We start from the raw sequence: 21,578 nt of genomic DNA, 5'->3' as shown, positions 1-21,578 counted from the left end.
AAAGGCAGTGCAGCGCAGGGATACAATCACTGGATTTGAGGAGCAGAAGGTTCAAGTTCAAGTTATGGCTCTGCTTCTTGCTATCCTGGTGATAACTTTTATCGAGCACACCATGATCATAATCACAGCAGTTTTCATTTGCAGAGGCACTTGCTATGGGTCAGGCATTTGCTATGGGGTAAGGCAATGTACTCAGTGATTTCCAAACAAGAAAACACTTTTGACAACTCTATAAGACAGATGCTGCAACAATCACCCTTTTATTGATGGGGAAACTGAAGCTCAGAAAGGAATAAGAATTTGCCAAAAGTAATAATAAGTGTCAAGTCTGGTATTTAAAGTAAAACAAGCTACTTACTTATCTCAGAGCCTCAGGTCCCTATGTAGAGCTGATATAATAAGACCCACTTTGTATTTTAAACTATAGGAGCTGAGTAAAATCATGGGTGGAAAATTGTCGTGCACTGTAGCAAAGTTGATTAATAGAACTGTGTAATGGAATATCTGATGTATAAGTGATCAAGTGAAAGAAAGGATGTGGAAGTGTCTTTTGAGAAAACATAAGTCTCTGCACATACTGGTCACTTTGACTTTAGTAGGCAATGATGAAAACAAAAAGCATGTCTCAGGGAAGCTAGACCACCTTCTGGGAGGCTTGGAATCCTGAGTAGGGAATAGATCGCATGGTGGTTTTGCACCAAATTTGAAGGACCTGGGAAGCAGATTTTAGCATACGAACAAGTGAGAGAACTGAGTTCAATACAGTTGCCAGTTCGTTCCTTCATGTGCTCTGTGACCTTGGCCAGCTTTCCTTTCTGCAAACTGATAGGAAGAGCCCAACAGAGTGAGTGTCTTCCCCATCCAGGAGATAATCTATCTTTCCAAAGAGCACAGTGCAGTTCCTGCTTGAGTCCCCACCTGAACTAACGCAAGTAGATTTCACCTCATTGCATCATGACATTTGCATATAACTTTCCCCAGAGAGCCTCCCATCTGCGCAGATGGATTTAATGACCTCATTTGCCTCCTGCCTGGGCAGGGTCTCCAAGTGGTCACGTAGTCTCAGAGAGAATCTTTGTTTCTATCCTTCTCTCTCATGTACTTGTGGACTCATTCTCAATGTCTACCTCTTCTTTTTTCTCTGCCTCTTTGACCTCTTTCCCTCCCTCCCAACCTCTCTCCATCCTGAAAGTTTGCAATAATTTAAAATGTAGAATGGAACATCAGAAAGATTTAAGTATATGCCCCAGCTCTCTCATCTACTTGAGATGTGACCTTGAACATGTGACAATTTCTCTGAGTCTCAATGAACTCATTCATTTAATGGGAAAAATAAAAGTGTAGACCTCCTGAGGTTGTGATAAGGAATACATGAAATAACTCATGAAAACACCTCACACAGTGCTTGACATATGCTAAGTGCTCAATTATTCTGTCTCTTTCTCTCTCCCGCTCCCTCTCCTTTATTTTTTTGGTCTATCCTCCCACCAATTCTGTGGCCCATAAGGCAGGGACCAGGTCAATCTTGTTTATTCCTGTTTTCACAGGCCCTAAGCCACAGAATGAATAAATTTGTATTCATTGATCCATCTCTCTCTGACTCTTTGTACTTATGGCTACCACAAGTCTTTGTTTCTCTTTTCAATTTAAATTCATAAGTGCTTGATGCTGTGGTAAGCATTTCCACCGTCCCCTTTTCCAAGCAGCACCTCTCTTCTTGCTCACAGCTACTTGCTGTTCTCTGTTTAGGACATTTACTTTCCATCCTCTGTGACTTTGTGGAATACATCTAGGATATTCCATCTAGAATCTAGAATATTTGCCCCTATTCATTTTACCTTGAAGAGAAGCACAGAATATTAGAACTGGAAGTGGCATAGAGAGAAAACCCCCCAGTCCAAACAGGGAAACTGAGGGCAAAGCCAAGTCAAAATCCAACCACTGGGGTAGAGTGTGGAAAGTACTATCATGAAAGCCAAAAGGTTTGGGTTGGGATCCTTGTTTGCTTCATACTCGTTGAATGATTTTGGGAAAATCCCTCCACTGTCATGATCTTAGGTTCTACATCTATGAAAGGAGGATTTTTAAAATACCATATTTCATGTTGCATTTTTTCTGAGGATCAAGCAAGAAGAAACATGCAAAAGCCTCAGCACATGGCCTAACACCCTTGAGATGCTCAGTGCCAAATACATATATGCTGAATCAGATTTCTCCCTCACTCGTATTTCACGATCTTTCCTGCCTATTGTCCCCCACCGCCCACCTTCCACACTTGAACAATCTCCTTGTCCTTAACTCCCCCATGCTTTATCCATCCCCGTCTCCTACCCTTGCTCTCATTCTATCATTAGCACGATCCAGTTACCTCTAATGTCTTCTCTAATATTCTGTCTGTAACACTTTCCCATTGAGCTCAAACACCCATGAGGGATGGTTTCATGTCTGTCTGCTTTATCTTTTGTGCTTTCTGCTGCACCTCACTCAAGGCAAACATTCAAAAAATTATATGTCTTAGAATAAAATCCAAAGTCCTTACCACAAGTTCAAGGCCTTGCATGATCTGATTTCTACATAAGTCTCAGATCTTACATGGTTTCCTTCTCCTCCTCACTCTCAGTGGCTTCTTTATTTATTGGTTCCCCAGATACTCTGTTTTCCTACTTTTGTGTCCTTAGCCACTAATGGCCCTCCACTCTGACTGCTCTTCCCTGGCCAGCTCTTTTTCATTGTCCAGGTCTTTTCGCAAGTATCACTACCTCCCTCAGTAGTCTGACCAAAGATATTAGGTTGGTGCAAAAATAATTGTGGTTTTTGCCATTGAAAGTAATGGTAAAAACGGCAATTACTTTTGCACCAACCTAATAGCACCATCACCTTCATACCATATCACAGCATCTTATTTTTGCACCCTTCTGATACTGAATTACTTCTTTACTTCGATGTCAGCTCACTCTGGGCAGGGACCATGACTGTTATTGAACTCAGTCTTTATGCATTCAATGACCCATGAATGAATGAACAAATGAATGCATGAATATGCAGGCAGAATACAAGTCAGGGAGCCTCCACTTTTACAGTCAGTTGCTGGGTGACTTTGGACAAGTTACTTCCCTTCTCTGAGCTTGTTTCCCTGCCTATAATAAGAGTTGATTTTCATAGCTTCTAACTTCTCATCTGGCTGAAAATCCTTCTCAGTCTGAGAAAGGTAGAAGGCAAAGACCTGGCCAGAAAGGAACTTGAAACATAGAATTTCTTCACAGACCCTGTCTTGAATGCTCCCCTTCCTGTCCTCCCCAGTTCAATCAGCTTCTCCAAAATTGTTGGCTGGTAAGGCCTTGCCACCAGTTAGCTTCTCAGGCCGGTCTTGGCACTCTGGCTATGCTGGGGTGGTGTCACCTTTTTCTTCCTTCCCCAGGCCAGTCTGGGCAGTTTCAGCACTTCCGAAATAAACACTGGAGGAAACTCAATCAGAATATGACAAAGCCTAGGAGGGTTGGTCTCAGGAGGCCTATCCAGAGCCTCCTTGTCTCCACTACATGCTTGTAAGTAATATGTTGTAGACTTTATACAGAAACTGTATGACTTTCAGCAAGTCCCTGGCATCTTGTGGACTTCAGCCTCCCCATCTGTAAGACAAGGGTCTTTATCAAGACCTCGAAGGGCTCTAGTGAGGAGTCAGTGAAGTCATGTCAGGTCCAGTCCAGCTCTCAGAGTGCCCAATGTAGAGGAGACACATGGTGTTTTCTTCCCTCCTCTTGCCTCTTTGTGAACTGCCTGTTCAGAGCCTCCTCTGTTACAAGCTTCCTCACTTATCACAGATATAAAGCTGAGAAGAAAAGGGTGGAGATTTTCAGGTATTGCTAGGTCTAACCTGGAAAGGACTTGGGGACACCTGTTCATGCAGGCTCAAGCGGTGAATACCATTGTACACACACTAGTGATTCCAAAGGGCCTTCCACATGCCAGATGATTTCTATATGCTAGCTCTCTGACTCTGCACCACCTTGGGAGACTATCATTATTAGCTCCCCATCTTGCAGATGAGAAAATAGAGGCTTCAGAATGTTTAAAGCAAAACTAACCTGTCTCAGGCCTCAGTACCAGTCAGTGAGTTGGTGATGCAGGATTCCAAACCCCACTTCAAACACTTGAGAGCTTTTCAGCAAGTGAGAGTAAAAAGAAGGGGGAAAAAAAAGGTATTTTCTTCACAACCTGAAAAGGCTGACTGCTGCTTTGTCTTTTTAATCACCAATAACCTTTATCCTTATTATGTGCCTGGCACTGAGCTAAACTCAATGTGCATCATTATCTTACTCACTCTGCCCAGCAATGCTAAGAGGTAACTATTCTTACTATCCCCATTTTACATCTTAAAAGAAACTAAGATGCAAAGAGATGAATCAGTGGGCTGTCAGGTGGCCTGGCACTCCTCAGCACCATGCCCCAGGAGGACGGCAGAGCAGGAGTCAGGGTCCTCTCTTCACAGACGAAGAAACTGAGGCATGGAGAGAAGAATCACATCTTGATAAAATCAGAGCTCTGAGCCCAACTGCCAGATTCCCTGACTCCCCAAGCAGCTCCCCACCTTCTCCCCCAGGCGGCCTCCCAAGAAAACCTACCACCCACAGCATGAACACCATGGTGGCCAGTTTACATTTGGGGATTCTCAGCACCATGTGGCTAGGCTGTCCCATAAATGGCTTGGCCACCCACTCTGGGATTGTGTTAGCAAGCCAGGTCCATGATTAAGGGCCAGGATTCTCTCCTGTTTTTACTCGGGGCTAGAGATGGTGCTCCGGCACATGGGTTCTCCCTCTGGGTGAGCTGCTGAGGCTAACACCTCCATCTGTGAGTGTGAGTGGCTCAGGAATGCAGCTCAGGCAACTATACCACAAGGCCCTGGCTGCAGATCCTGTCCAGAGCTGAGAGACATGCAGGGGCTGGATTCTGACTCAGACTCCACAGGGAGGTAACTAGCAGAGCATGGTGGGGGTGCCGGTTGGAGAGGGACAACAGTCATGTTGTGCTGATGGTCAGAGAGCTTTGACTGTGTCTCCTGCTGGCTGTGGGGGGCCACATCACTGGCAGGTCACTTCACCTGGTTGAGTCTTAGGGTCTTGACAGTGCTGATGGAAAGATTTCATGAGTACCAAGTAGATAAAGGCATGATGCCAAGGACGAGGATTCCCCTGTAAGTTTCTTAAAGGTAGGATGGATACAGTACCTGGCATAAAACGTGGAACAGTTAATGTATACGAAGCTTGTTTAAATGAAGATAAAGTGGTCATGTGGATAAATGGAGGATAAAGTGGAAAAAATATGGGTAAATTAGAGGAAAGCACTGGCCTAGAGGAGAAAAAGACACGTTTGAGTCTTTGCCCTGTTGCTGACTTTCGTGTATGCTATCCGGCAAGTTACTTCCCTTTTCTGGGCTTCAGTTTCTCTATCTGTAAAAAGGAGGTACTAACAGTCCTACCACACAGAAGTATGTTGGGTAAAGTATGAAATGCAAGTAAAGCATTAGAATAATGCATGGCATAAAATATGGGCTCAATAAATGATGATGCTAGTGGTGATGGTGGTGATGGTTTTGACAGTGAGGTAATGATGATGATGGTGGTGGTAATAACATTGATAATGATGCTGATAAGTTTTTGGGATAGAAGGGCTGGATTCCATCATAGGACCAAGCTAAAATGAGTGCCTACTTCATCCATAAGGAAAAAGTCAGGGCTACATTCCAAAGCGGGGGGCAGGGGGAGGCAGAGGGTTTAATAACATTCCAGAAGCCAGTAATTTTTGAACATGGAAGAGTTAGTCTAGTGTGCTTAGCCATCTGCTTGTTGTCTCTTACTAATCCTCCAAGTTAAGCATATCTACTCTCTCTTCCAAAAGGCCTTCTGGGATTCCCTACACTGGCTCAGTGCTTCAAATCCTCCTGAATACCCCCCACTGGCCTCTGGATAAAGTTCAATCTCCCTGGCTTGGGTGATAAAAGCCTTGCTTATCCATCTAGGCTTATCTTTTATCCCTTTTCCCCTTGCACCATGCTCTGGGCATACTCAGGGAATTATAATTTCCTTAACACTTTCCCTGGTGTCTGGGCCTTTGCACAGACTGTTCCTCTCGCCAAAGATACCCTTTTCCCTCCCACCCCTATCTCTGGTCCTTCCTTACTCCTTTCATCTGGGAAATACCTTCTGGACCTTTCATTTATTGCCTTTGGTGTTGCCTTCTCTGGGAAACTTCGCTGACCTCCTGACTTGCTGTGTCTCCATGAGTACTTGCTATACTCTAAATGTCTGGCTACTCATCCATAAGACATGAATTCATTCAGCTGGGACCAAGTTCTTGCTCATGGCCTAGTACAGTATCTGTCACACAGCAGGTAATACCCTAAATTCACTCATGCAAAAAGTATTTATTTGTGGGTGTTGAGTACCTACTATTGGACAGGAAACAATGAGGTACACTGGAAATTTGAATATATCAATAAACAAACAAGAAGCACATTCTTATCCTCATTAATTCTGCATTCTAGCATCAAGAGGAGTAGGGGTCATCTGATCATAAATAATAAATATATTTTATAGTGTGTGCCAGGGTGATAAGTATTAGGGAAGAAAGAAAGAAAAAAAAAAACAGAAGGCAAAGCAAATGAGTGTGGGAGTGCCAGGGGTGATGTGGGTTGGGTGGTCAGGGTTGGAGTCATTGAGAACATGGCACTTGGGCAAAGACTTGAAAGAGGTGAAGGAGTGAGTCATGAGGATGAATAGAAGAGGGTTCTTAGCCAAAGAAATTGCCAGTGACACAGTGACAAAGGCTGTAAAGTAGAAGGATGCCTGAGCTGAACTAAGGATAGCAAGGGGTCCAGAATGCCAGAGGTGAATAAGAAAAGGCATAGACAGTGGAAAGGGGGCAAAGTCAGAGAAGCAATGTGGGTGGGCAAAGCACCCACATTTTCCCAAGAGCTTTGTAGGCATTGGGAAAACTTTGGTTTTTCATTCCAAGTAAAATGGGAAGGAACTGTATGTCTTTGCATTGAGGTGTGATATGATCTGACTGGATTTAAAAGGACTATTCTGCGAGGTCAGGAGTTCAAGACCAGCCTGAGCAATATGGTGAAACCCCGTCTCTACTAAAAATACAAAAATTAGCCAGGTGTGGTGGTGTGTGCCTGTAATCCCAGCTACTCTGGAGGCTGAGGCAGGAGAATTGCTTGAACCTGGGAGGCGGAGGTTGCAGTGAGCCAAGATTATGCCACTGCACTCCAGCCTGGGTGACAAGAGTGAGACTCTGTTTCCAAAAAAAAAAAAAAAAAAAGGATTATTCTGGCTGCTAGGTCAAGAAGAGACACTGATGTACATCCCCAAGTCAGCTACCCAACATCCAGCCCTTTGTCAATGTAGGTTATCACCCACTCTGCTAAGAAGGTTGCTCTCCATGTAATGATGTTGATTATTTTTCCATATCTTATAGAATCACTAGCCTTCTTAGACCAATGACCAATGTGCTACATGTTGGGTATAATGTCTTTTCTTAAGAAACCATGTTCTCATTTAGGTAGGGTTTAAGATTTAGTAAATCTGTCATTTAGCAAATATTGCAGCCAGCCCTACACATAGTTGCATGAATTGGGTGCACCATCCTGTGCTGAGATGTGTTTCTGGGATTAACCTCTTCTTATTCTCTGTAGGTCTCAGTCTTAACTAGCCTTCAACTTCCTGCTCAATGACCAACTCATCCAGGAAGCCATGTGAAGAGTCCTTAGGCACATTTTTAGAAAGCCTTGTTATGTTGAGTTATTAGACAGGAATCTAATTCAAATATCAAAACATAAAAACCCAAAGTGAGTCTGGCCTACCCAAGGTCACAGAGTTAATAAGTCACAGAACCAGGACTATACCCCAACTCCCCAGACATCTATAAGAATCACTCTCTTAGCAGCCATCTGAAACATGACCACAACTAGTGTTCCAGGCCACCACACCTTAGAAAGCTTTGGTATGTTGAATATGTTAAGGTTGTTTCCCTTTTCTCCCTCACACCCTAACACGTGCTTACTTAGAATGATTCCAATTATAAATTGAATTTTTTTTGTCATGAAGGGAAACCACTGGAGCAACCATTCTGGAAATCTGCTTTGTATTTGAGGCTCCTCAAGGCTCCAACAGGAAAATAATAAACTGACATCCTGAGAGGCTGAGTCCTGCCCCTTCCTGTCTGCCTCACACTGCAGGCAGGTGTCTGGGTGGGAAATTGGACACCCCTGTCAGACAGAGTTTCCTGCACCGTCTTGCTCTTGTCTGCCAGCCGGGCCCAGGTCACCCCATAAGGCGGATGTGGGGAACAGCTGGTGTCTGTACAGACAAATAAGGGAGGGAGAATGAAGGGAGCAGACAGTCATCATGCTGGGCCAAGGCATCACGGAGGCCCTAGCCCTGGGAACCGGGAAGAAGTTTAGGTGGAAAACTGGCAAGAAGGAAGTCTGGGAGAAGATGCTGAGTGCTTAACTCTGGGCCTGGAGTTCATACCAAGAACTCCATTCCTGGAGGTCTATGAAGCAAGAATATCACCCACAAGGGGCAGGACAAGACGCTTGGGCAAGACACAAGCCTGCTGCAAAAGGATGTTCCAAGGGGTTAGAGGCAGGTGCTGTGCAGCTTGAATTCTCTTGGTTTGCATCTTAGCTTTACCACTTGCTAACTGTGTGAATTTAACCCTTCTAAGCCCCAGTTTCATCATCTATAAAATGAGGATTAAAAAGATAACGCCTAGGGCCGTCCATGGCGGCTCACATCTGTGATCCCAGCACTTTGGGAAGCTGAGGCTGGAGGATCACTGGAGCCCAGGAGTTCAAGACCAGTCTGGGCAATACAGGGAGACTGCTTTCTCTACAAAAAATATGAAAATTAGCATGGTGTGATGGTGTGTGTCTGTAGTCCCAGCTATTTGGAAGGCTGAGGTGGAAAGATCATTTGAGCTTATTAGGAGGTTGAGGCTGAAGTGAGCCACTCCAGAGTAGGTGACAGAGTGAGGCTTCATCTCAAAAGAAAAAGAAAAAAGAACAACATCTACAACAGGGTTATTGTGCTGATGAAATGAAACGACATGTAAAGCAAAGCAATAACTCTTAGCTATTACCATTTGTTCAGTTAGGAAATCCTAAATCCCAAACATAGCTCTATCACCTTGTACAAATTATTCCATTTCCCTCAACCTCAGTGCTCTACTTGGCTGAATTATTCTGGAGTTTAAGTGAGATGACATGCACAGAGATCCAGGCCACAGCGAAGCACATATTAAGTGCTCAGTTAACTGAATTCCTGTGATTTAGGAAGGTGCTTGAAACTCACCCAGGGGTGAGTTTCTCTGAGCGCTAGCCTGGGTGTGTAAGGGAAGGGATTGTCTCTTGATATGGGACTGGGGCTGAGGGGACAAGTGGGACCTAAACAGGTCCAGCAGGTAAGGGCAGAGGCATGAAAGGAAAGTAACCTCTCTCCTTCTCTGAGAGGCTTCCTGCGGTGGAAGATGGAAACAAAAACCAGAACTTTCTTCTGTTCTGTGGATGCCCACGGGAAACTCCTCTCTGGGCTGCCAGGGATGTCAGGGATGATGGGAAGGCTGGGAGACTTATCTTCCCCCGACCCCATCTTTGCTGCTACTGGGAAAAGCTGCTCTCCTCTTTGCCAAAGTTCCCTGGCAGTCTGGGCTCATGGTGAAATGTTTCCAACCAGAACAGGGAGGGTCATGCCAAGGTGTGCCAAGGACACAGGCACCCTGCATGCTTTCTTCTTCTGAAACTCAGCACCATGCAGGAGAAAAAGCAGAACTTTTGAGTCAGATAGAACTGGGTTCAAACTTGGGCTTCCCCACTCATTTGCCAAGTGAACTTGGGCAAGTCCCATATGTACTCTAAGCCCAGACTGGTTCATCTGTGTGATGGGAATAAGAATAGTGACCTCTCTGTGTTGACAAGAGGATTAAAGAGGATAACAGAGGCCAAGTGTCTCGCAGAGTGTCTGAAATATGCAATAGTTCACTTAGGGAAGTCTTGTGTTCTTATTTATTTTCTCCATCTAGCACCACCTTTAAGCCAGTCTACTGCAGGGAGTAGTTGGGGGTGTCCAAGAAAGAGGAGAAAAGTTTCAAGAAGTTGGAGTTCCCTTAAAAGTCAAACTGGGAAATCTAAATTGTAGGAAGTGTGACTTTAATCTGAGACACTTTTCCAGAAGTAAGACTTCTAGGAATCTTGCATCTGAAAAGCCCCAAACACCTGTCCACAACTGAAATAATGATGGCAAAGTCCTATCTGCCATAAAGGAGGCCCTTAGTCTCTCTAATCCATACTTCATGTACAGTTTTAAGAGACCTTTCCCCTTCTACCCCCAACCATTATTCACCTCCACCAGGAAGACTCTGTTCCCTCTTCAGATCTCCATGTAAATGTCCCTTCCTCAGAGAAGCTTTCTCGGACCTTCATGCTGTTCTCCATAAAATCTCACACTTTCTCATCATTGCCTCTTCCACAAAAGTAATTAAATGCAATAGTTGTGTGGCTCCCTGCTTAATAACAGGCTCCTCTAATAGACTACACGTTTCACAAGGGCAGAAATACTGTCCACAGCCTGGTCTGGTGCTGAGCACACAGAGATCCTCAATGGAGATTCACCGCATTGGATGAAGGCAGCTTGGCCATCTGCATTCTGCACCCTCAGCCAACAAGAAGAAACAAGAATTTAAAGTGGAAGAAGAGGATTTCTTAACACAAAAAGCCTAACTACATTTATAATGTGGGTAGACAAGGAGGAAACAACAGTATGAAATGCATTCAGAGCTAGCAAAGAACTGGTTCTGGGGTTCCTTAGTGAAGAGTCTGTGCTTATCTTGGGGCCTGGGAGTCTGAAATTGCTGCACTGGAACTGAGTATGGGAACAGAGAGCCAAAATGGTGGCTTGGTGTTCAAATATATGTATACGGTAAAGTTACTATAATAATTTGGAATCTGGTCAGGTGCGGTGGCTCATGCCTGTAATCCCAGCACTTTGGGAGGCTGAGGTGGGTGGATCATGAGGTCAGAGAACTTTCCAAATGGATTCTCTCTCTACAGAGTGCATTGTGGGACTATGAAGTCATGAGATTGAGGTTCAGGTGTGGATTCCAAATTATTATTTATTTATTTATTTATTTATTTATTTATTTATTTATTTATTTATTTTGAGATGGAGTCTCGTTTTGTCACCCAGGCTGGAGTACAGTGGCACGATATCGGCTCACCGCAACCTCTGCCTCCCAGGTTCAAGTGATTCTCCTGCCTCAGCCTCCCAAGCAGCTGGGATTACAGGTGCCCACCACCACACCCGGCTAATTTTTGTATTTTTAGTAGAGACGGGGTTTCACCATCTTGGCGAGGCTGGTCTCATGACTTCATATTCCCACAATGCACTCTGTAGAGAGAGGAATCCATTTTGGAAAGTTCTCTGTCAAAAAATCAGCTTCATATTTTATATTTTAGTACCTAAGTTACAATAGATAGGAACATTATTTTAAACAGAGCTGCTCTTTCTCCAACCGTTGGTGTCAGATGGAGCCATAATTCTGTAAAAACTTCTATTTCAAATACAAACTTCATCGTCCATTCACGTTCAAAGGTGGCTGACTCCAATGGAAGAAAATAGATAATATTGTTCACTATATTCATTTGGAAACAGGTATCAGGAGCCTTAAATATGCTTACATCCCTCCCTTGGCATTCCAATTGTAAGAATCAACTATAAAGAAATAATTAGAGCTATAAAAGTATTTTATGTGCAAAGACGCTCATGAGCATCATTTTAGTTAAAATTATAAGAAAAAAGAAATAATCCAAAAGTTAAAAATAAAAGTTGAAGTAAATGGTTACATAAATTAGCATACATCACAGCCATATAATAAACAACAATGCAGCAAAAAATACAGCTGAGAAGTTTATACTACTATCAGAACTTTTTTAAATTTTGAGACAGGGTCTCACCCTATCGCCTAGGCTGGAGTACAGTGGTATGATCATGGCTCATTGCAGCCTTGACCTCTCTGAGCTCAAGTGGTCCTTCTGCTTCAGCTTCCCAAGTAGCTGGGACTACAGACCTGTGCCTCCATACCTGGCTACTTTATTATTATTATTATTATTATTATTATTATTAATTACGTGTAGAGACAAGGGTCTGCCTGTGTTGCTCTGGCTGGTCTCCAACTCCTGGTCCCAAGTGATTCACCCATCTTGGCCTCCCAAAGTGCTGGAGTTACAACCGTGAGCCACTGTGCTCAGCGCAAGTAATTCTTGTGTCTAAGATTTCCTGTGCTAAGTAAACAAAACTAAGCAAAACAAGATTGCAAGCTAGAAAGGCAGTGATATATACACAGACGACAAAAATACCCTCACACTTACTTAACAAAATTCACAGAATAAAATACACCAAAATAAAAAGCAGTGGTTTTCTTTGGTTTTTAAGATAATAAGTGAATTCTTTTGTTTTCTTCTTTCTGAATTTTCCAATATGCATTATTTCATAATTAGAAAAAAATGATAAAATTCCTTAACAGAAAATGAATTTTATTTTTCTCTACTTAAGCAAAAATTGTACGTCTTCAGTGTCCTATCAATCAAAAATCAAAACCAAACCGAAACCAAAGAAGGGTAGGCATGCTGAAAACTGTTGCCCACCTGGGACTGACTGATCCTGGACAATCCCAGAAATTTTATTCCTCAACCAAAAGATTCAGTAACTAACAGCCATCTGATTAGAATGTGTTCCTTGGGTCTTGTCCCATTTGTTCCTGTATTTTGGGTCAGAGATTCTTTCTTGAAGAAACCAACTCTCCTAAGGATGTTGCAAAATAAAGGGACTGGGATTGGAATCCAGGAACCTCACTCTTTCTATCATTCACTTTGTCACCTGGGACAAATCATTCCTCTTTTATGGGCCTCAGTGCCCCTATTAATAAAATGAAGCGTTTGGGCCAAGATAGTCATAGAGGGCTCTTTAGGCATGATTGACTATGATTCTTTGCTTTTCCTGTCTCAGAAACTCAGTTCCCCCTTCTTTAAAATGACACAGATGAAATGATCTTTCAGCTCTGACTGCAGATGAATATAAAAATAGAAATAGTTTTCCATTAACTCATTCATCACAAGAACGCTTCTCAGCCCAGGCTAGCAGGGTTACCACCTCCCTCCCAACCCTTGGCTGGGGCTCCTCACTCTGGTCTCAGCGGCAGTCGGAGAAAAATGGAGGTGGCCACTTTTCTGTGAGGGGTTAATGTGCATCTATCGAATGTTTTTCTTTGGTTTACTATAAACACTTGAATCACTCCTGGGTGTGTCCTGATATAAAGAAAAAATACCATGACCATGACCATCTTTCTCTAATTCTACAGGTGTGACAAATAAGATAGATAATAAAATGCTCAAAGACTGTAAATGACCTCATTAGGGATGTACTATTTTCTGTTTCCTAGACTTCAGCCCTACCCCCTAAAAATGTGTGTTCTCACTGGGATTTTACATGCCAGTCTCCTGCTCCAGACACCGTTCTTTTGACCACCTCCTCACCCCTTCCTCTTATCCCTCAAGTTTCAGTGCAGATGCCTCTTGCTCTAGAGTGCCTTCTCTGACCCCTTGCCTAGCCCCCCAAGCACTTTGTCCTTCCTTTCCGAAAGTACTTATTGCAGTTTTATTACCTGCTTCCGTACCCAATTCTAAGCTTTGAGAACCACATCTGCAAAAATCAACCAGGGCCCAGCCTATGATATTAGTTCAACTACTGACCAAAAGAATAAAAATTAAAAAAAGAAATAAAGCGTGTGGACAGTGCTGGCAGAGTTAGGACAAGGGTTGTCCAGCCATGAAGGAGTGATCCTGGCCCCACAAGCTGGAGAAGTGGGCAGGAGGCAGCTGCCGAGGAGTGCACACTGGCCTACCTTTTTGGTCTTCACTGTGGAGGTGCAGCAATCCCCACCGTCATAGTTGCAAAAGGCTCGGTTGTTGATGGCATCACAATAATTGTCTCCCATGAAGGGCTGGAAAGGGAGACAGAAGGAGGAAATGAGGCCTTGTTAGCATCCTGGAGTGAGTGGGAGCTGACGTCTGCAGTCCTTCGGGTGTCTGTCATCTTTTCACAGCCTTCCACGATTAGCTGGCCAGGCTTCACATCCCCAACACCCCCTTGAATGAGTTATCACCTCTACCATTCATAAAGACTCTTATCTTTCTTTCTACCATTCATAAAGACTCTTACCCAGTTTTTTCCAACTAGAGTATGGTTATGCTGAGAGACATACTCTTGTGTGCTTGGGTATGCAAAACCACAAAATAGATGGCTTACATCTTCCTGAAAGAGGGCTCATTTTACTCAAAGAAATGACCAGGAAATGTAAGCCTCCTTCTCCCACTTTTTTCAGCAGTATGTAATTAAAAACGTAATTTGTAATAAAATATATGCAAATATGTTAGGAAGCTGAATGTAAACTGCCCAAGAAGCATTAAGATAAAATGTAAGAACTCATAGGAATTTGGCACCATGGTCTGTGTGTGATAGTGGGCTCCCTCTCACAAGGAGGGCAGATGTACTTGATGTCACACATTTTACATGTTTGTTTTCTTCTTTTGCTCTCCAAACAATAAGTGAGGTAGGTATTGGTTTTCTCACTCTACAGATGAAGATGCGGAGACTCAAAGACAGGGACTTGCCCAAAATCACATTGGCACAGTCAGAGTAAGTGATTTAAATCTAAGTTGGCTCTATGGTTTTTTACTTCATCTCTCTTGGCTGTTCTGGCATATACTGATTTATTTCTTTTCTTCTGTGTGTTTCTCCACCCCAGGACACTCCCAAGATGAAGAAAAGATAATAGAGTCAAGCCATTATTTATCTGAACCCAGAGCCTTATTAGGGGAAAGTCCAGGAGTCTCTTGGATTCCCCAGTCACTTGTATTTCCTCATCCCAACCGCTAGCACATTGTATTCTGTGGTCTGTTTATGTTTCTGTAGCTGGTGCAAGACTGTGAGCTCTTCATGGACATGGGCAATGTCTAGTTTGTCTTTGACTCCCAATCACCTCATTTAAGGCTGCACACAACTTTGGCTCTTAATAATGTTTCTGAAGTGGAATGTAATTGTACCGGCATAGTGGCAAGGGCAGTTGGCAGGGATTGAGAAAACCTGGGTTCTAGTCCTCCCAACCTCAGCCAATGGGATGGTTACTTCATGGTTTTGGTTAAGTGACCTTATCTCCTCTAGGCCTCAGGACTCCCACTAATGAAATAAAGAGGCCAGATTAGTCCATTGATTTCTCAAAACAGTGAACCTACCCCTCTCCTCACCATCAAATGCCATATTGTGTGACATTTCAATATAGAAAGCAGATGAAAGTGAAACCACTCTGATTAAAGTGCTGGTTGGGGTCTCTAAAGATCAGTGACTCATTCATGGGAAAGAGACAACATTTGTTTAAGACCTTTGCATCCAAGCATGCCATCTGTGATCCAGTGGTCTCCCCTTCCCATCCTCACTGCTCCAGAAAGAACCAAGCTCCATCCCATGTGGCATTCCTGGCTTTTGCCTCTCTGTTCCAAATTCTTACTCACAGAAACTTTTCACCCTGAACTCATGATGCCAGATTTCATTTCATCACTCTACTACTAGAGTCTAAAAGATCACAGCTAGACAGAGCTCTGAGAGCAAGGAAGACCTGAGCTCAGTTGTGTGGGTGTGCATGCATATGGCTGTGGGTTCAGGTGTGACTCTGCTGTGTGACCACCAGAATGAACACATCACATCCACATTAGAGCAGTGGGGTATAAACAAACAACAAACAATAAACCCTTTCTTTTCCTTCCTGCCTCAGGAGATCTGCCTGTGGGTTATGTTCTTTTTTATGTAATAAATGAACAGAATAATGATGGAGACTAATTGTCCCTTCCTTAGAATAAAAGGAACTGGCTTGATAAAGAAGTAGCTAGGGGAAAAGAGAAAAATTAAATGAAGGTGATACTTCTTTATTTGGCCCTGAAAAAATTCTCCAGTCCCATCACTAGTTACTCTACCCTATATGTTCTTTCCTGCAACCATATCCTTTCATCCACCTATCCATCCATCCGTCCATCCATCCATCCATCCATTCATTTATCCTTATTCCATCCTATGTATTTAATTCCTACGATGTGTTACACATTATGCTAAGGAAAAGGATGCAATAGTGAATTAATATAGATATAGTTCCTACCCCTCCAGACCTTATACTCTGGTGAAGAGACAGACTTTAATCACATAATCACACATCTAATTAACCAATTTCAACTCTGATAAGAGCTATGGAGAAGAGGTTTGTGATGCTATTAAAAAGTAGAAAGATTTGATCTAGACAGGGAGCTCAGTGAAGTCCCTGAAGAAATGACGCTTCAGCTGAGATCATAAAGATGAGTAGGAGTTAATTAGGTGGGGGTGGAGAAGAGAGAATTTCTAGAGACAGGGAACAATATGAGAAAAGCTCTGGTACTTAGAGATTTCTCCTGTCTCTGGTTTATCTCATGTTGCTCCTTCTACTAGTAACGCATTCAGACAAACAAACCATCCTTCAAGATCTAGCTCAAATGTTACCTCTCCAAAATGCCACCCCTAATAGCCTCAGGATGCTGTCTGCTGCCATAGCCTCTTGTATTTGATTTTGTGATAGCTCTTCAGGATTTTAAAATTCTCTCTTTAATTGTCTATCTCCTTCACTATACTGTGCGCATCATCCATTTCTGTATCCTAGATTGCTAGCAAAATGTCTCGTATTTGTGCAAAACTTTATCAAATATAGATTCCATAAATGTTTATTTAGTAAAACGATGGATGGATGGATGGATGGATGGATGGATGGATGGATGGATGACAGGCAAGAAGATATCATAGATGACTCAAGGAGAGCATAGTTACTATTTTCACTGGACTAACACCAATGTATTCCCAGAACTGGAACAGTATCTGGCATATAAGAGGTTCTCAGTGAAGCTTTGGTGAACAAGTGAGTGAATGATCACTTTGGACCCAGCATGGTGCAGAAAACAGGGGCTCAGGGGTCCCCAAACCCTTTCTTTATCTTGGATACCTCTGGATATTCAAGGTTGATAGTCCCAGAGTTTGTATGTCTTCTAAGCATAATTTTCAGCTCCAGACAAGGCACTATTAGAACAAAGCTAAAGAGGACAGGAGATGAGGGGCACCTGCAAGGGCAAAGGTGATAAACATCACTGGCAGGGCTCAGAGTCTGACAGGTGAGGGTCTCTTGGGTCTCACTGCTGAGTCCAAGGAGGGATTGAATTCCGCTGTCACACTGGTTGCCCAGACCGCCAACTCAGCAGAATGAGTGCCCAGGTAACTCAAGCTTTCTTTTCCCAAAATGCTGGATTGATCCAAAAAGACAGAAGTAAGCAACAGCCACAGGGCCTTGGCTTTGATTTTGCCATTCCTAATTGAAGCCTGAGAGAATGGGGTTCCTAAAGTCAAGTACAATGTCAAGTGCCCTCAGGAAATCCCTCAACAATGCAGAGAAAAAAATGTGTAACCTAGGGATTGTCTTGTGACACAGATCAGGGAATGGATCATAGGCAGGCAGCAGGAGAAAAGCACCAGCCTGGACGTTAGAAGAGCTGGGCTTACGTTTTGTCTTTGTGGTTATCATGCTGTGCAAACTTGGACATTCCATCCCCTCTCTGGCCCTCGTTTTCTACTCTATACACCAAGAAAATAGAGCTAGATCAAATTAAGAGCCTTCCCAGTTTTGGCATTCCATCAAATTTTAGATCCAGCCACTGCCTGGGTCTCTGTTTACCCATTTTAAAAATAAAAGATTAGTTGAGATTAGGTAAAAGAGTCTTTCTGGTTCTGGCATTCTAAGAGTTTCATCAGATACGACTTTTTCTAGGGCATGGTCTGATCCTTTTCACCTGCGTTTGCCTCAGTGGGCTCTGGATGAACCACAGAGATTTGGCCATCCACCTGGAAGGGATTTGGGGCCGCTTTTTCACTGCCAGCTGGGAAGAGCCACAAGGGGCAGAGTGATGTGCAGAAATGTCTTTGAGTTCCGTGGACAGCCCTCCCTTCAGGACACAGCTGATCTCCCAAGAACCATGCTCCTTGAGTCCTCCCAAGCTTGTCACTGACACACAGAGACAGATCTCTATAATTCCAAGCTGTAAGGAATGGCTCAACTGTGAAGTCATAGAATTTAAGGGTTATAAAGGCTCTTTCACTTCAGCTCAATGGTTAGGTCTAAGGCATTCATATTCCTTCTGGGATTGAGGCATGAGTAAATGACTAAGATGTGGGGCAGAAGGAATAGGTCTGCAAGTAAAGGTCATCAGTAAAATGGAAATTAAAAATAAAACCACCTCACCTGACTCTGTAAAGGTTAAATGTAACAATGTTGGTAAATTTCCAACATTAGCATATTCTAGATGGTAAATCATTATAGCCCCCTGCCCTTCCTTTCTTACAGATCCCATATTTTGTAGACCACAGGCTCTGGAGCCACAAAAGCCTGGCTTGGAACCCAACTCTGTTACCCATTCCCTATGCTTTTTAGTATGTTTCTTTATATCTCTGTGCCTCAATTCCATCATCTGTAAAATAAGGCTGCTAATCCCTGTCCAAGAAGTCTGCTAAATGGATATTTTCAACACTCAGTAGGTATGGCAAAGGATAGCCAACATTAATATAACAATAACAATAACAACAGCAGGATTATTTCCAGGGAACTGAGGAGTGCCTTCCTTGTGACTCACCTCACAGCCTTTGACACAGTGAATCAGAGCAGGGTGAGGATACCACTTGAGACCAGCAGTGCAGACAACTCTCTGTGGGAAGAGGGAGAGAAAGGTCAGATGGGCTTGGGATTGGGAGGGACCCACCTCCGTGTTGGCATTACATTTAACCACCTCACCTCTTCTGGGACCTTCCAATTCCTGACCTCACCCTGGCTTTTACATGGAGAACTTGCCCGGGTACTTGCAATAACAGGAGCCACAAGATTAAAATAATATTTGTGTTCACCGCATGTGTCATGGTTCTGTATTTCCCTGGCAGGAACAAGGGTTGAGGAGAAGCAGAACTGGAGGGTAGAGACACGATCAGAAAGGCCTTTCAGAAAATTCTCGACTAATATTCGACCCATTCGTGGAGTTGGGATAAGGTGGGGGGAGGAGGGGTGTGTGTGTGTGTGCGCATGTGTGTGTTTGCATGTGTGTGTGTGTATGTGTGCATACATGTGTGTGACTGCAGCAGGCGGATGGGAGAAAACTGTGGAGCAGCATTTCTCAAAGCATGAGCTGAAGACCACTTTCATCAGCATTGCCGTGGGAGTGTGTTTAATTAACGGCAGATTCCTCAGACCTGCTTTGGATTTAATGAATTGGACTCTCTGAGACCAGGCCCTGAGACTCTGCATTTTAGCAAGCCTTGCAGATGATTCCAATGCACACTACAGTCTGAGAGCACATGGGCTATTATGAACCAACCTATGGTTCAAATCCCTGGAAAGGCAGAGAACCCCTCTGCTGTCACCTGCTGCCGTGTCATACTGGTCTGCCCACAGTTCTCTGAGGTTGCCCACAGTGAATTCGTTCTTGCTCTTCCCCTTCCCTGAATGCCCTTCCCCATTTTGTCACTTTGAGAATCTTTTAAATGTCTGCTCAAAATTTATGTCTTCTTTGGCACTTTTCCTAGCCCCGTTAGGCAGAGCTTATAGGCACTTATTTATAGCCTCCTCTTTAAAAATAATAATTATGATGAAGATAATGACAACTAAAATATATTGAGTATATTCATTGTGCTAATTACTGTATGCATTATCTTATTTATTTCTTGCCATGATGATGTGAGGTGGGCATTAATCTTGTGTCATAAGAGAGTAAATTCCCCATGCTCCATAGCTGTTTGGTGGAGAAACCAGGATTTGAAAATAACCAGTTGTTTCAGAAATGATTTAATAAAGCTCATAACATAAAATCCAACATGATGATATTTTAAAAAGTGGGTGAAATAAGAAAGCTAAATAAGACTAGAAAGATAACATAGTATTAGGAATACAGTTACCATAAAAATTCTAGAAGCTTGGCCAGGCGTGGTGGCTCACGCCTGTAATCTCAGCACTTTGGGAGGCCGAGGCAGGTGGATCATGAGGTCAAAAGATCGAGACTATCCTGGCCAACATGGTGAAACCCCGTCTCTACTAAAAATACAAAAATTAGCTGGGTGTGGTGGCATATGCCTGTAGTCCCAGCTACTTGGGAGGCTGAGGGAGGAGAATCGCTTGAACCCGGGAGGCAGATGTTGCAGTGAGCTGACATCATACCACTGCACTCTAGCCTGGCGACAGAGCGAGACTCCGTCTCAAAAAAAAAAAAAAAAAATCCTGGAAGTTCCCTTTTCTATTCTCCATGGATGCCCCAGTTTTCATGCCAGATTACAATTATTTCTTTAAAGAATAAAATGAAATAAAATAAAATGGTACATGCTTAGATGTGTAGTGACAGGTAACTGTGAACAACCAACTATGGAAGTCCACATGATCAGAGGTTGTTCAACTGACTGAGAGGCCAGTTGATTAATTTTAATTAAAAAATGAAGAGTCACCTGGGCCAAAATGTGGAAAATCCATGTAAACAGCCTATTCTCTCCCTGAGGGCAGACCTATATGGTAGCCAAATTGTAATTAGGCCTCTTGGTGAGGCTGTGACAGAGGGAATCAGGTGACCCCAAGACTGGATTGGGTGCCTTTCTTCTCTGCTCCATAAAATCTCAGGTTCACATTAGATATGCCATGCCTTCAGGAATGCCTGACAGAGGGGATGCTAAATAAATATTTATTTTATAAAGGAACAGATTCTTCTCAAAATAGAGATGATTTTACCAGTGGACAATAATTTCTTTACTTGTCTTCCTGTCTTCTAGAGCATCAGAAGATCATCTAAGGTCAAGCACTAGACTTGTCCTCTAAACAAGTCTAGTTTAGAGGATCAGTTTAGTATAGGCTGAATGTAGCCACTATCAACCTTCAAGTAAATCAAAGACCTTGGAGAAAGAGCTTAACTTGATGATCTTCCAATCAGTCTTGCAATGTGAAATCTACTGTCTTGCATCTTACTGCTTCTATTGAAATTGTCTACCCATCCCCAGTACACGCATAAAGTGGTATATGGGAAAAGTCATGGGATATGATATGGGACAGATGTGGTTGCAATTCTGATTTGGAATTGCTTTGTACATTTCCACTATGAGATTTGGTTCTCTCATCCACAAGATAGGTACTGAAAACATCATAGACTTGTTGAGATGGTGCATTCATATAAATGCTGTGAAAATGGTAAACCTAGTACCAATTTCTTAAGTTTCTTGAGGGCAGATCCTGAGTTATAGACACTTCTGTATCCTTCCAGGGTGAAGCGTGGAGCACAGTGAAGAAATACATGAAGGAATGTGATACAAATACAAATGAGGGAATTTGGGTTGTTTCAGTATTCCTTTCTTTCAATTAAGCTACGTTCTTCCCCCTCT

General features: G+C 43.1%; 1 protein-coding gene across 3 annotated transcripts in view, besides 3 other annotated features; it reads right to left on the bottom strand.

Moving 5' to 3' along the window:
- PAPPA (pappalysin 1) overlaps nt 1-21,578 on the bottom strand; it is a 248,531-nt gene that overhangs the window by 5,866 nt on the left and 221,087 nt on the right. For all 3 annotated transcript variants that reach the window (NM_002581.5, XM_017014784.3, XM_006717129.4), the window contains 2 exons: nt 18,809-18,880; nt 13,963-14,061 (listed from right to left, as the gene is read on the bottom strand). In NM_002581.5, the coding sequence (NP_002572.2) occupies nt 13,963-14,061; nt 18,809-18,880 (171 nt within the window). The remainder of the gene's footprint in view (nt 1-13,962; nt 14,062-18,808; nt 18,881-21,578) is intronic.
- Nucleotides 521-1,020: an enhancer, noted in NCBI's record as "H3K4me1 hESC enhancer chr9:119157715-119158214 (GRCh37/hg19 assembly coordinates)". NCBI's record gives its function as "activates a minimal SCP1, AML or CMV promoter by ChIP-STARR-seq in naive H9 embryonic stem cells {active_cell/tissue: H9 hESC(naive)}" and the evidence as "EXISTENCE:reporter gene assay evidence [ECO:0000049][PMID:30033119]".
- Nucleotides 5,368-5,467: a silencer, noted in NCBI's record as "silent region_20220". NCBI's record gives its function as "represses an Ori minimal core promoter by ATAC-STARR-seq in GM12878 lymphoblastoid cells {active_cell/tissue: GM12878}" and the evidence as "EXISTENCE:reporter gene assay evidence [ECO:0000049][PMID:35858748]".
- Nucleotides 15,820-15,869: an enhancer, noted in NCBI's record as "active region_28883". NCBI's record gives its function as "activates an Ori minimal core promoter by ATAC-STARR-seq in GM12878 lymphoblastoid cells {active_cell/tissue: GM12878}" and the evidence as "EXISTENCE:reporter gene assay evidence [ECO:0000049][PMID:35858748]".

This window comes from Homo sapiens, chromosome 9 (assembly GCF_000001405.40).
Source record: "Homo sapiens chromosome 9, GRCh38.p14 Primary Assembly".
NCBI classification, from domain to species: domain Eukaryota; kingdom Metazoa; phylum Chordata; class Mammalia; order Primates; family Hominidae; genus Homo; species Homo sapiens.
Note: the sequence above shows the minus strand (reverse complement) of the source record. Positions and strands in the feature narration are given on the sequence as shown.